This window comes from Homo sapiens, chromosome 11 (assembly GCF_000001405.40).
Source record: "Homo sapiens chromosome 11, GRCh38.p14 Primary Assembly".
Classification (NCBI taxonomy): Eukaryota; Metazoa; Chordata; class Mammalia; order Primates; family Hominidae; genus Homo; species Homo sapiens.
The window spans coordinates 60,274,093-60,289,459 of NC_000011.10; the positions used below are offsets into that span (position 1 = coordinate 60,274,093).

Here is a 15,367-nt window from a genome sequence, read left to right on the forward strand (position 1 = left end):
TAATTTCATCAGTATACTAGGCATGTCAGAGGAAAGAGTCAGTGAGCTTGAAGATACGTCAATAAAAACTTCCGAAACTGAAGAGCAAAGGGAAAAAAAATGGAAAAAAAAAGAACAGAACAACCCCAAAGTGCAGGACAACTACAAAAAGAATAACATTACACATAATGGAAATACCATAAAAAGAAACAAGAAAGAAAGGAAGAGAAGAAATATTTGAAGTTTAAATAATGACTGAGATTTTTCCAAAATTAGTAACAGATGCCAAATCACAAATCCAGGAAGCTCAGAAAATACCATGCATAGTAAAGAGTAAAACATCTATACATAGGTATATAATATTCAAAAACAGAAAATCAAAGACAGAGAAAATTTTGAAAGAAGCAATAAAGGAGAAAAGGAAACTTAACTAGAGAGGAACAAGGATAAGTATTACATTAGTCTTCTTTTCAGAAACTATGCAAACAAGAAGGGGGTGAAATGAAGTATTTAAAATGTTGGAGGTTAAAGGTTCAGGCACCAGTCACACTTCCTTGTTACAGTAGACACTGGTTGAGATGTTAGGTCTTTCAGCCCTGGAGTTCTGCCTATGTGTGTTGCTATGTTGTACACAGGTCAACTCAAACTCTTCCATTTTAAGAGTGCCAGCATGTTCCATAGAGCTCAGTATATCTCAAGGCCTGGGATTTGTGAATTAATATCCTCATATTGGAAGAAAAATACTCATGAAATGTGGTGGTGATGAGATACACATGGTAGGCAGTATTTATGGCAAGGGTGGTGCTTAAAAAAGCTGGTTCATATTGGCAATGAGATAATCAGATGGGAAGAACGAACCAGGTGTAGAATCACTGGAGATCAGGCCGGCTGGTCCTTAGAACGTACCTATTCTAACTCTGAGGATGAAGAAACAAATATTACTCTACATCGCATTGAGTTTAGTTTCTGAGTTGAGATTAAAACTTGGATCATCTCACTCCCAGCGATGTACCTTACTGTCTTCAGCCACTTTCTTTCTCAGACATTCTTCACAGTAAATATTTCTTGCACATGTGAGGAGACTTCATGTATTCTCTGTGTCCTGGTTTTCCCTTAGTATCATTGATCATCCGTGCTCCCTCTTAGCTCTTAATCTTATGGTTTTAATACTTTTTTCCTAGAAACCATAACAAGAGCCATAATCTTGTTGAATCAAAGTCCGTTGGCCTATCAAAATGTTTATAACATAGTTTTAATTCATCCACTGTTTCATTAAAGCAAATTATAATGAGTGACTGCTGGAGAATAGTATTTGCTTGGATTTCTGAATATAGTACAGGTAGCCTGGAATAGCTAAGGAATCTGTGTTCATAATTCAAAGGAGAGACTGTAAAAAATATATCAAAACACTAAAGCTGGTTTTGAATAACTACTGGCATTTTTTTAGCTTTTTGTGGAATTTATTTTAACTGCCTCAAATTCACAAGATAAAATCCGGTGTATTAGAAACATGACTTTAGGACACTTGATGAAATGAAAATGTTGGGAAATTACTTGCCAGAGATAGTTGGTGATTATTATCCTCTGTGAAACTCAATGTTCAAGGGAAGTGAGATTAGACATCTCTATAATTGTGGGCCTTTAGAAGGCATGTGATGAAATAAAAAAAAGAAAGCTTTTGTTTCCTTTGATAACTTATATATTTGTTCAATTTGACTGACTTGATTGGCTGTAAGTCATTTTCTAAGAGTTTCAGATTAAAACTTAATTTCATTAGTTGGCAAAAATGGTTGCAGAGCAGTAAATTGGTCAGAGCTAAGAGATCTTGTAATGATAAAGAAGAGAAGAATGTGATTTGTATACACTACTTTGGTGTCAGCATAGACGAGTTGGGCTATTGTCATTAAACAGACCCTGTCCTTAGGGGACACTGGCATTTATTTTGCATATTAATATACATAGGCACCAGTATCTGAGGTTAAGTGTTAAGAATTTTAAGAGTGTTTTCTTAAGAATAATACCTTTCTTTGCTACATATGTACTATTTGAAGAACCATTTCTTAAGCACAAAGGAAACCCATATGGGAAAAAAAAACATTTTGTGCTTTTAATTTAGAATTATATAGGCACTGGAAAAATATTTTTATTAAAAGGATACAAAATAATATTTTTTCTAGATTCAAAATGAGGAATTACAGTGCTTAGATCTATCACCTCAACTTTACATGACTCCTACTTCCTAATATATTTGTTTTCACATTTTCCCTCTGTTCTAATCTTTTATTCCAGATATCTCTAAGGCTTTTACCAATCTCTTTAGCTGAGATTGTAATATAATTTTCTCTGATACTGTATCTCAGTTCACTGCTGACTGATGTGCCACCTACATCCATTCTCTGCATTGTTTCTATTTTACCCACCCAATAGCATTCAACAGAAATGTTCCTACCTGGTGTCAGACATTGAGAAATGTTGAAATCAAAAAGATAAATAAGATACATTATCTGTCCTCAGAGATACAATGAACTGGTAAGAAAAACACTTATAAAAATATAATTTTCAAATAATGGCTAATCTTGGTGGATTAAACACATCTATTTCCTCATGAAACCCAACTAAATGACTATAAAGGGTCTGGGAGAAAGTCATAAATCCAAAAATTCAAAAATAATATGAGAGAAATTGGATCATTTTTTTAAATGTTAGAAACCAGCTAGACAAGCAATAAATGACTTAGCAGCCTCCGGAAAGTGAAAACCTGACTGACGGAATTGGAAGCTTAGAAAAAATTTGATTCTCTTTGTAGAACCCCAGTAAGTCTCAAGAATTATAAGTGCTTTCAGTTGAATATGTCTGGGGACACAGCTAATTGTCTGAGAAGGTAGTTGTATTAGTATGTTCTCACATTGCTAAAAAAGACATAACCAAGACTGGGTAATTTACAAAGAAAAAGAGGTTTAATGGACTCACAGTTCCACATGGTTGGGGAGGCCTCAGAATCATGGTGGAAGGCAAAATGCACATCTTACATGGCGGCAGACAAGAGAGATTGAGAGCCAAGCAAAAGGGAAAACCACTTATAAAATCATCAGATCTGGTGAGACTTATTCATTACCACGAGAAAAGTATGGGGGAACACGCCCCCATGATTCAATTATCTCCCAGTGGTTCCCTCCCACAACATGTGGGAATGATGGTAGCTACAATTCAAGATGAAATTTGGTGGGGACACTGCCAAACCATATCAATAGTGAATACTTAAGTAAGTGAATTCCCTGAGAATAGTGAATTAAGATCCCTGAAGGCCTAGAGTATAACCAGTCCTAACTGGAATAGGAGAATATAAGGCGCCAGGAAGGGAGAGTGTATACAGAAAAATACTAATGAAACAGATCAATTACCTGTGGGTCTATAGACACTGAGATTTACATTTATGGTGGAGTATTTAAAACAACTTATTTTCAGGTATGTAGAAAACAGCATATGAAACATGAGGCAGTTACTAACTTCAGAGAGAAAAATGGTCAAAAGGAAGCGTAATCATAACACTCATAATGAATTAGCCATTAATGATTTAAATACTATAAATTGAGTTAACTAAAAAATCGTGATAAAACTATATGGGAGAATGAGGGAAAAGGAAGTGTTATGGTGGGAAGGTGTGTCCAGGGTAAAAATGAAGGATATAGGGGTTAGTCTATTGTCTTCAGTAGTAGGAGGTTAGTGCATAATATATAAAACCAAAAATTAGAACAGTATTTAAAATCATTCACTTAGAAATATGGAGTCAACACAAAAAGAAACAATTAAAATTTAAATACTTGCTTCTGGAGAAAGAAAATTGATTGGGAACTGGGGAAGGGGGCACTAATGATTTCTTTCAGGCTAAATCCAGTGAACATTTTACTGTTGTTAGCTTGTCTCTCTGAAGTATTTAATAATAATTGAATGATTTCTTCCTACTGAAATATTTCTGTGCTCAAAAAATGATAAGTAATTTATTTATATTACCTAATATAACCCTTTCAACAACGCTATGACATATTACTATCTATATTTTACAGATGAGTAAACTGAGGTGCAGAAAGCCTAAGCAACTTGCTCCAGCTCACATAGGGCATAGGATTCAAAATCCAGCTCAAGGCCGGGTGCAGTGGCTCACGCCTGTAATCCCAGCACTTTGGGAGGCTGAGGAGGGTATATTACTTGAGATCTGGAGTTCGAGAACAGCCTGGCCAAAATGGTGAAACCCAGTCTCTGTTAATATATAATATAACATATTATATAGAGATACATTCTATTATATATATAATATATTCTATTATAATATAATATATATTCTATTATATAATATATATTATATATTATATCTATTATATATAATATATCTGTATATGATATATAATTATATATAATATATAGATATTCTATTATATATAATAGGATATATATTCTATATATATAGAATATATATATTTCTCTGTCAAATTTCATGTTATTGTTCTCTTGAAATTGTTATCTGCTAATAATAACCTGATACTGTCTCATTTCATACCATATGGAGTGGGAGGAGAGACTGATGCCTGTCCTTAGTCCAGAATTTCAACCTCTCTTAGGAAGTCATGAAACTCTGTACCCTTGTCTTCTGCAATGCCACATTTTCCGAGTTTGCCTGCTATCTTCCTTACCCTCTTTTTCATAATCCTCTGGGAAATCTTATTTCTGATTATACTGTCTCTATCCTCTAGAAAAAGGGTTTGACGTTTTCTGCCTCCACCCACAAGCCTGGGTGACCTCATCCCTCTGGGCGAAGAGCTGTTGGGTTTACCTCTATAGCCATGTTCTCATTCCCTAGCTCCTGCCAGTTATCCACTTCTTGTCAACTTTATTTGAAGGTCCCTACACAACTCTGATCAAATACGTTCAAAATTTTACTATTTGTTCCTGCAGTTCTGTCCTGGTCCATGTCTATTGCCTTACTGAATGGCTCTATCACTCATTCAGTTTCCTAACCCAGAATCTGAGTGTCATCCTTTCCTGTTTTTTCTCCTGATTTACACATCCATTATACCAACAAGTACTGTCATTTCTTGTTCCTAAGCATCTTTCAAATCCATTCATTCTCTCCAACTTCACTAGCATCACAGGTAGTTCAGTAACCATCATCCCTTCCCTAGAGAACTGCCTCTACCTTGAGCCTAATTCTCTGATTTTATTATTATTTATTCCTGTTGTCTGAAACCAGGACAATATTTCTGAAATATAATCTATTTTAATTTTGAGAATCGTAATTTCAGATTATAGACCACATAGTTTTTGGAATTAAGTAAAACTGGATTTCAATCTCATCTATACCAGCTATACGAATATCTCTGAGTTTCAGTTTCTTCTTCTGAAAAATAGAAATAATAATATTACCTTCCTTCATTCCCTTTCCATTTGTGTGTCTTTTGCTCATTCATCAGGTCTCCAATTAGATGTCCCCTTATCTAGGAAGTCTCCTCTGCCTACCCAATGTTGGGTTCATTGATCCTCCTATGAGCTCTCTTAGGATATCCTACTTTACCTTGCAGATCACTGATTACAATGGGTTGTAATGATGTATTTACTCATCTGTATTGCCACTTTACCTTGCAGATAACTGATAGTAATGGATTGTAGTGATTTATTTACTGGTCTGTTTTTCCAAGTAGTCTATAAACTCTTTGAGTGAAAATTATTTTTTACCATTTTTTCAGAAGCACACGGCACACTGCTTGGCTTATAGTAGTTTTTCTAAAGAAAATGCTGAATGAATGAAAACTGCACACCACTTTGCTTTCCTCCTCCATGTAAAGTAGGCATTATTTTATTTTACAAATGAATCTTAGGTTCAGGAGATTAACAGGGCCATGCAAGAAATGTTTGCCATTGGTTTGATCTTAGTCAAAGACCAGCTCGTTCTATGATACCAGCTGCTTCCTTCACTTAGAAAGGTGTTGTTTTATTGCCATACAACCAACTTGTTGCCATTTTATGGCCACTCCTGATGAATCTCTAAAGGTGGAATTTCATGTAAATAAAACATTTAAGTTGTGTATATTAAGGTTGGTGCAAAAGTTAATTGTGATTTTGGCCATAAAATAATGGCAAAAACTGCAATTACTTTTGCACCAACCTAATAAAATAGTAATAGTAGTGCTCCAGGAAGACAAGAGTACTGTGGAAATGTGTGACCCTGTGAAAGGGGGTATTTACAAAATACCATTTACTTGTTTATATAACGACTTTTGAAGAGAGTCTGGCATACAGTAAATCCTCTACCACTGATATCCACAGTAATTAGCAGTATTATTTTCATAGGAAAGACTGTATCAGGCAGCCCCTGCTTTTTCAGCAAATTTCAAAATAGACATCCACACCCATATTGGGAACACAAAATCAGTTAATGCTTCCGATATAAAAGAGGAACTAGCTGTGCGTCTCAGAAATTCTCAGCACAGCCTTTAAGGTTCCAAACATCTGCTAGAAGAGGAATGCAGATTTAAACTGAGTGAGGTGTGGAGTGGGGGAAGTTGATTGGGTCTAGACCAAAGAACTTTGAGGAACTTGCCCAGAGCCCTGCATGCATCAGACCTACAGCAGACATTGCAGGCCTGAAGAAAGGTAGGTCCAGGGACTTGCCTTCCTAGGCTTTCGGGCTGATGGCTTGTTTCACTTCCTGGGTTAAGAATTTCTGGGAGGGGAATGAGAAGAATAATGAGGCCACTTCCCATGACCCAAGCTGGTATTCAGGGTTGGGGTGGGTTGAGTGCACCTTTAAATGTGCATTCGGTGGGGGGATGAGGAACAGTTTTTGCTACAGTCGATAGGAGTTAGAAAAGCCTCCTAAAGGCTGACATTGGAGGCTGGATAAGGTTGTTTAGTTACTTTTGTCCCCTGAGTCTTCAGGATATCAAAACACTGAAAGCAACATTTTAAACCTTTGACTAGTTACCTCATCTACTGTTAATGCCCTTCTTCTGTGGTCTTTATTCTCTGTGTCTGACTGGTTATTTTTATAACTCAGGATTTAAGAACAGATGTATCACATGCAGAATTTGGTGTACATGGAGTAGGGCACAGGCAGGGTCCCCAGCCTTGTACATTTAGATGGGCTGTGGCCTGACCTAGTTCTCCAGTGGTCTTTGGCACTATTCATGGGGCACCCAGGCAGTAAACTGAGGCTGCTCATGATAAAATCTGCTAATGAAAAACACCTTGTAGACTTTTAGCATTCTTAGGATAAGAAAGAAGCTTGTAAGTGGTCGTGGCCATTGTAATCTTTCCCCAGATGAAGTAAAAGAAGCCAATAAAAGGGAAATAATGTACCCAGAATCACACAAGTTAACAAAAGGGCTGGGAGAAAAACAAAAACAAAAACAAAAACAGAATTCTTGGTTCCTAGCCCGGGCCTTTCCCCCTTTTCCCTTCCCATGCCACCACTTCTGCATCCCCATCATCCTTCTAAAACCATCCAGATTCAGGCCTCATTTTGGGTTTCTAGTCTATTTGACAACTTTGCCAAGAAAAACGGATGGCTGTTTGTACCACTCTCCTCATGCTCTCTCCTTGCAATTGTGACCCATGAGGAGGATGGTGACATAAAAATGAGGAAATAAGAGACTGGTGGTGCTGCTGATCCACAAGGTGACTGGGGCCAATAGAAGAGGGAAGGGTGGTCTGGGTTTCCCCACCTCTTTATCAGGGGTGTGGGGGAAAGACATTGTATTTCTTAAGAGCCTGATGCATATAGGTGATGTGGCAAAACCAAGGTTTAAATTCTTCTCCAACCTGGAAGAAATGTCCCTCATATGCATCCAATATTCTCAGCAGTTAAAAAAAAAATTGAATATAGAGAAGTCAAGCCCTGGATGGTAAACACGTTTTTGTTCTTGGGGACTTCATGTGCCGTAGATAATTAACACAAGGATTTCTGTGGTGGAAAAAGAGGAGGCAGTTATATGAATTTATGGCCAGAGTTTCTTAGAATGACAAAGCACCAGCCTTGAATGACCAGAACCTGACCTATGTTACCAAAGAATTATGGGAAAGCATAGGAGTCAGTTACAAGCTTTATTTTGATATAATTGCTCTGCCCTCGAGGAAGCTTACAGTCTTACCAGAGAGGCACTAAACACAGAGAGAGAACCACCAGTGCGTTTGATAAGACAGACCCAACATGTCCTAAATTCTCAGTCTGAAGGTGTGCCTGAGAGATTGAGGCAGAGGTTCTTTTACATTAAAGAAGAATAAAGTACACATTTAGATGGACTAAGAAGAATCATCTTTAGTCACTTTCCAAATAACTTTGACTTTTGCAATGTAGAAGGAACATAACACATTTCTTAAACCCTTATTTACCGTCATAGGCTGACTAATCCACATGTGGGCAATGGTGGGGAAGTGGGGGAATAGTGTCTGAGAGAAGATAGAGACTATAAAATGCTGTTCATGTGTGAGAAGATTAGATGATGTGGTGGGTTTGTTTTTGTTCTTACAAGGTGGTCACAAGAGGGGTGGAACATTCCTGCAAATGGTTTCAATATATGCAGATGTCTCAATATAGGAATGAAATTACGTCTTTGGAACAACTTAAATAAGTCAAATATACTTGGAGCTTTAAAAATTAAAAGGAGAGAGATTCGAGGTAAGACTACAATAGATTTGTGCTGAAGTAGCCGAGCTTTTGTTATCAACATTAAAAATTTTAACTTTATGCTAAGGGTGGTGAAATATAAAAGAAGGCTTTTAAAGGGGATGGTGACTCAATTGTTTTTGTATTTGATCATTCTGGCTACAACATCAGTGGTGGATTGAATATCCAAAGCCACAAATGGACACAGGGAACATTCAGAGGCTATAATGAATACTTCTGATAAAAATAGAATAATGGCTTGCCTTGAGAAGATGGGAGAAATACACAGAGTTGAAAAATGGTTGTGTAGGATTAGAATGAGATTGATTGAGCATAGAGGGTAGGCAATGGAAGGAACCAATGACAAACTATCAGATATTTTTGAGACAGGGTCTCACTGTGTTGCCCAGGCTGGAGTACCCTGATGCCATTGTGGCTTACTGCAGCCTGGGCCTCAGCCTCCTGAGTAGCTGGGATTACAGGCGCCCACCACCACACCCAGCTAATTTTTGCATTTTGTGTAGAGATGGGGTTTCACCATGTTCCCCAGTCTGATCTCAAACTCCTGGGCTCCAGCGGTCCTCCCACCTTGGCCTCCTATACTGCTGGGATTACAGGATTGAGTCAAAATGCCCAGCTTTAAACTTCCAGATTTTTAACATGGATAGTGTAGTTAATTGCTGGACCTTCCACCAAGAAAGGACACTTGTAATTTCATAGCCCTCTTAGGGTTCCTGTTCCCTTTAGCTCTTGCCACTCTTGATTAGCAACTACTTACAGGGCTCTGAAATAATCTCCACATAGGAAGATTTGCGCCACCTTACTTTTTTGAAAGGGAAATTTTGAGGAAGACTGGATGTCTTCTATTTAGGTCTTCTAAGGTTTGAAATAAAAATAACCTCTTCTCCCTTCTGGGACAAGTAGGTAAATTGTCAATTTATGGGCTTTATTAGAATGACTTTAAATTAAGCCCAGAGAAGGACAATTCCCTTAAGTGTAACAAAATTTGAGGATGTGGATTAAATGTAAGACCAAAAATAAGACCTATTTTATTTTAGCCATATGCTCCAAATCTAAATTTTGTGTTCTGTCTAGGAAGTGCTAAAGTGTATATATAGGTCTGAATATACCTACTCCATCGCATATAAATGCAAACCACCTCACAAATTCCATTATCATTGGAACAGAGACTGCAAGAGGAAGACAAGGGCCTCTTGGCCCACCTCTACGTAGTCTTGTTATCTAACTTATTCCAAATTGGGTGGTTTCTACCTTTTAGCTATTATAGATAATGCTGCTAAGAAAATTAATTGTACAAGTTTTTGTGCAAACAAGAGATCTTCCATTCACCAGACTAGTTTAGTGGATCCCCTTAAGCAAAGGAGTTCTGGAATTACATCACCTGGATTTAAATTTTGGCCCTGCCACTGTTTACTCAAGTTACTTAATCTTGTGTTTCTATAATTCTGTCCTGTGAATAATAGAATATATCTCTCAGGGGAATTTAATGATGAAATAACACATATAAAACATTTAAACCAGTGCGTGTCACTTAATAAATGCTAAATACATATTGACTATTATTACTGGTATTCCTACTATCACTTACTCATTTCTGGCTTGAAGTATAAAACATAAACTTCCTTTAACACTTCCTGCCACTCAAGGACATGCTAGACAGGGACTTTACTCCTGTCATGACCCTGCTCCAACCTTCTCCGGTCTTGGGGAAAATAGAAAAGCAGATAAGAGGGGTCTATATAATTGGTGAGAGCATGTTTTTCATGGTACCATGTGGTCAGAGGTTGACTCTTCCTCTCTTTTGCAGTTTGTCTCAAAGATTGGTCAGAAGAGTCAGGATTGTCCTCCTTTTTTGCTCTCAGTAAGTTAGATACAAGACTATGCAGAGGCGGGCCTAGAGGCTCTCCTCTTCCTCTTGCAGTCTCTGTTCTAATGATAATGGAGTTTATGAGGTGGGTTACATTCACATGCTATGGAGTAGGTACATTCAGACCTATATCGACACTTTAGCATCCTCTGAGCAGAACACAAAATTTAGATATGGATCAAAGGGGTAAAATAAAATAGCAGGCCTTATTTTTTGTCTTAAATTTAATTTGTACTCGCAAATTTTGTTAAACATCAGAGAACTGTCCCCCTCTGGGCTTAATTTAAAGTCATTCTAATAAAGCCCATAAATTAACAATTTACCAACTGCCCCAGAAGGGAGAAGAGGTAATTTTTATTTCAAACATTAGAAGACCTAAATAGAAGATATTCGGCCTTCCTCAAAATTTCTCTTTCAAAAAAGTAAGGTGTTACAGGAAAAGTATGTGGAAATTATTTCAGAACCCTACAAGCAGCCTCTAATCAAGAGTGGCAAGAACTCAACGTAACAGAAACCCTAAGAGGGCTATGGGACTGCAAGTGTCCTTTCTTGGTGGAAGGCCCAGCAATTAACTACATTGTCTGTGTTAAAAATCTGTAAGTTTAAGTTTGGGCATGGTGGCTCACTCTTGTAATCCCAGCACTACTGGATGCTGAGACGGGAAGATCACTTGAGCCCTGGAGTTTGAGACCAGCTTGGGTAACATAGAGAAACCCCATCTCTACAAAAAATACAAAAATTAGCTGGGTGTGGTGGCACAGGCCTGTAATCCCAGCTACTTGGGTGGCTGAGGTCGAGGCTGCAGTGAGTCACGATAGTGCCAGTGTACTCCAGCCTGGGCAACAGAATGAGACCCTGTCTCAAAAAAGTCTGGTAGTTTATTGGAGGAACCAGTCCCCAATATTTCAACATAGGTTCTTTTCTATTTTCCCTAAGTGTCAGCCAGTCTGAGAAATAAAGAGAATGAGTACAAAAGAGAGAAATTTTACAGCTAGGCCTCCGGGGGTGACATCACATATCAGCAGGCACCGTGATGCCCCCGAGCTGCAAAACCAGCAAGTTTTTATTAGGGATTTCAAAAGACGAGGAATGTACAAATAGGGAGTGGGTCACAGAGATCACATGCTTCAAATGGCAATAAAAGATCACAAGGGCAGAAGGGCAGAGCAAGGTCACAAGGCCAGGGTGAAATTAGAATTACTAATGAGGTTCCATGTCCTGCTGTGCACACATTGTCATTGATAAACATCTTAACAGGAAACAGGGTTCAAGAGCAGAGAACCAGTCTGACTACAATTCACCAGGCTGGAATTTCCTAATCCTAGCAAGCCTGAGGGTGCTGCAGGAGACCAGGGTGTATTTCATCCCTTATCTTCAATCGCATAAGGCAGACACCCCCAGAGCGGCTGTCCATAGGCACCCCCTGGGAATGCATTCTCTTCCCAGGGTTATTCCTTACTGGGAAAAGAATTCAGTGATATTTCTCCTACTTGTTTTCTGCAATAAGAAAAATATGACTTTGTTCTGCCCGGCCCCGCAGGCAGTCAGACCTTATGGTTATCTCCCTTGTTTCCTGAACATCGCTGTTATCCTGTTCTTTTTCAGGGTGCCCAGATTTCATATTGTTCAAACACACATGTTTTACAATTTGTGCAGTTAACGCAAGCATCACAGGGTCGTGAGGCAACGTACATCTTCAGCTTACGAAGATGACGGGATTAAGAAATTAAAGTAAAGACAGGCATAGGAAATTATAAAAGTATTGATTGGGGAAGTGATAAATGTCCATGAAATCTTCACAATTTATATTCAGAGATTGCAGTAAAGACAGGCATAAGATATTATAAAAGTATTAATTTGGGGAACTAATGAATGTCCATGAAATCTTCACAATTTATGTTCTTCAGCCATGGCTTCAGCCGGTCCCTCCGTTCGGGGTCCCTGACTTCCCGCAACAGTAGTTTGTTATTAATGACTTCTATTACCCACCCTCTATGCTCAGTCAATCATTAAATGATGACCTTCTTTGCCTCTTTTGACAGTTTTTGACTTGAAGTTTATTTTACATGATCTAAGTACAGGTAATTATTCTCTTTAGGCTAGTCTTTGCATGGAACAGTCCATCCCTTAACTTTCAACTATGTTTCTTCTTAAGGCTAAAGTGAGTCTCTTACAGCATCTGGTTAGATCTTGTTTTTTAAAAATTTTCCAGCCGCTCTTTGACTTTTGTTCAAAGATTTAATTCATTTATATTTAAGGTTAGCATTAATGGATAAGGATTTACTAGTGACATTTTATTATTTTGGGGGGGTTTGTTTTTGTAGATATTTGTTTCTTTCTTGTGCTCTGGTCTACCTTTGTGATTTAGTAATTTTATGAATTGCTAAGCTTTGAATTCTTTAACGTTTGTGTATCTGCTGTAGTTCTTTGCCTTGTACTCATCATTAGGCTTACATAAAACCACGTAGTTTTATAAATTGACTATTTTAAGGTGACAATAACAATGTTTGTTGAAACAAGAACTCTAGACTTGTACTGTCCTCCCACAAAACTAAATTTTTGATATCTTTGTTTTCTGCTGCTGTAAAAAACCATTGAAGACTGGGTAATTTATTATAAAATTGTATTTTGCTTATAGCTCTAGAGGCTGGGAAGTCTAAAGGCATGCATGGTGTAAACCTCTAGTGAGGATAATCCCATGAAGGAAAGTGGAAGTGAGCGTACAAAGCAGAGAGAGAGATGGGGCCAAATTTATTCTTTTTTCAGGAGTCCACTCCTGTGATAACTAACCTTCTCCAAGGATAATGACATTCATCCATTCATGCAGGTAGAGGTCTCCTGATGTAATTACCTCTTGAAGGTCCCACCTCTTAATACTGTTAAAATGGCAATTAAGTTTTCAAATGAGTTTTAGAGGGGACATTGAAACCATAGCATCTCATCTACAACCCTCCAAAACTCATGTTCTTCTCACATACAAAATACAATACTTCTGTCTCAATAGCCTCAAAATTTTTACCCATTCCAGCATTGACTCTAAAGTTCTAAGTCCAGAGTCACATCAGAAGCAGATATGGATGAGACTCAAGGTATGATTTATCTGGAGGCAAATGTTTCCAGCTGTGAGCCTGTGAAATCAAAACAAGTGATTTGTCTTCAAAATATAATGGTGAAACAGGTGCAGAATAGACTTTCTCAGTTCAAAAGAAATAACTAGGCAAGAAAAAGGTGTAAGTGGTTTCAAGTGAGTCCAAAACCCAACCAAGAAAACAGCATTAAGCTTTAAATCTGGAGAATAATTTCCTTTGATTCTATGTCCTAAATCCTGGGGACACTGATTGGGGCCCTCAGACAGTCCTGCTCCCATATCTTTGCTGGGCTCAGTCCATGCTTCAGCTCTGTTAGGTTGGCGTTGCATGCTAGTGGCCCTATAGTTCCGAGATCTCAAAGGTAGCCTCACTACCATGGCTACACTAGGCATATCCCTAACTGGGACTCTGTGTTGGCTCTGACCCCATATTTCCACTCAGCATTGCCCTGATGGAGGCTCTTTGAAGTGGCTCCACTCCCATAGCTATTTGTGACATCCTTTGAAACTAGGTGGCGAAAGCCATGCCCCTACAACTCTTGCAGTCTGTGAGCCTATAGAGTTAACACCACATGGTTGCCATCGAGATTGACAGCTTGTACTTTTTAGGCACAAGTATTATAGTGGCTGTGGAGCTGGGGTCTTAGGCTCAGAGTCTTGCAAAACTACTGTGGCACAGGTTCACTCACCAAGGCATGGATGGATGCAGATTACCCACAAAGCTGAGGCTGTAACTTTGAAGCAAACCTCAGTAACTCAAGCCCATGGGGCAGGGATGGAAGAGTTACTGATTCTGGGGTCAGTGCACAACACCAGCATGGCTCCAGGGAAAGAGGGGTGCTCTGGAGGCTTGAGCTCTGGGGAGCAGGTTACAGTTGAAATTTTGGTTCCAGAGCCACTAGGACACTGCAGCAACTCCATCCCTGGGTGATGGAGTGCCACATAGTGGTAACTCTAGACACTGGGATGGTAGGGCATGGCAATATCCCAGGCTGTGTAAGGCTGGATGTAGCAGCAGCAAGGCCTCAGGAATGACTAAGCGTGTCTGTGGCTTGGTCCTTGGGTTTCTTGAAGCAGTATAGAAATGACCCCCTGGGGAGCCAGGGTTTCTCAGAAGCTTGGACTCCAGGGAACTAGTCAGTTCTAGGGAGGTGGGGCACTGCAGTTATTTTGCCTGGATTGTTGGGTGACACAGCTCAATCAAAGCTATATGTCCTCAGAGAGTGGGCCACAGTTTCAGCTTGAATTTGGAGGGGCAGTGTGCACCAGCAACTAAGATGGGGGCATGGAGCAGTTCCATGGCAGCCTGGCCTCAGCAGGTAGAGAGTAGACAGCAGCAGTTTGGCTCAGGTATGGCTACCAGGTGTGTGTGGTGTAGTGGTGGTTAAGCCTCAGAGATAGAGGTGTGCAATAGCTACTCACTTCTGAAGCAGAATGCACTGTAGCAGTGATTCGTTTCCAAGAAGGGGCAACACAGTAGCAGCTCAGGCCATGGAGGCCAGGGCATAGTGTCAGCACCACCTCTGGGATAGGACAGACATGTGGACTTCAGGTAGCTCCATCAGCTGAGCTCAGAGCCTGTGAAGACTCTAAGTGTCTCCAGTAGTAAGATTACAGGTATCCATGGTGGTGATGGGAGCTGCTGGGGTCCTCTCGCTTACCTTCTCCCTGCAGGAAGAAGGCTCTGCTGACTCAGAGATTGTCCTAACTGGGGGAAGGGGTGGTGGAAGAAAGGTGTTTTATCTCCTTCTTCATG

At 39.2% G+C, this 15,367-nt stretch overlaps 1 protein-coding gene across 3 annotated transcripts in view, besides 1 other annotated feature; it reads left to right on the top strand.

Annotated features, from left to right (window-relative positions):
- Positions 6,459-6,508: a silencer, noted in NCBI's record as "silent region_3370". NCBI's record gives its function as "represses an Ori minimal core promoter by ATAC-STARR-seq in GM12878 lymphoblastoid cells {active_cell/tissue: GM12878}" and the evidence as "EXISTENCE:reporter gene assay evidence [ECO:0000049][PMID:35858748]".
- MS4A4A (membrane spanning 4-domains A4A) overlaps positions 6,574-15,367 on the top strand; it is a 28,305-nt gene continuing 19,511 nt past the window's right edge. For 2 of the 3 annotated variants that reach the window (NM_148975.3, NM_001243266.2), the window contains exon 1: positions 6,574-6,624. In NM_148975.3, coding sequence (NP_683876.1) covers positions 6,584-6,624 — 41 coding nt within the window. In that variant the 5' untranslated portion in view covers positions 6,574-6,583. Of the gene's footprint in view, positions 6,625-8,501; positions 8,648-15,367 lie in introns of all 3 variants that reach the window. The other variant, NM_024021.4, reaches the window with a different exon arrangement.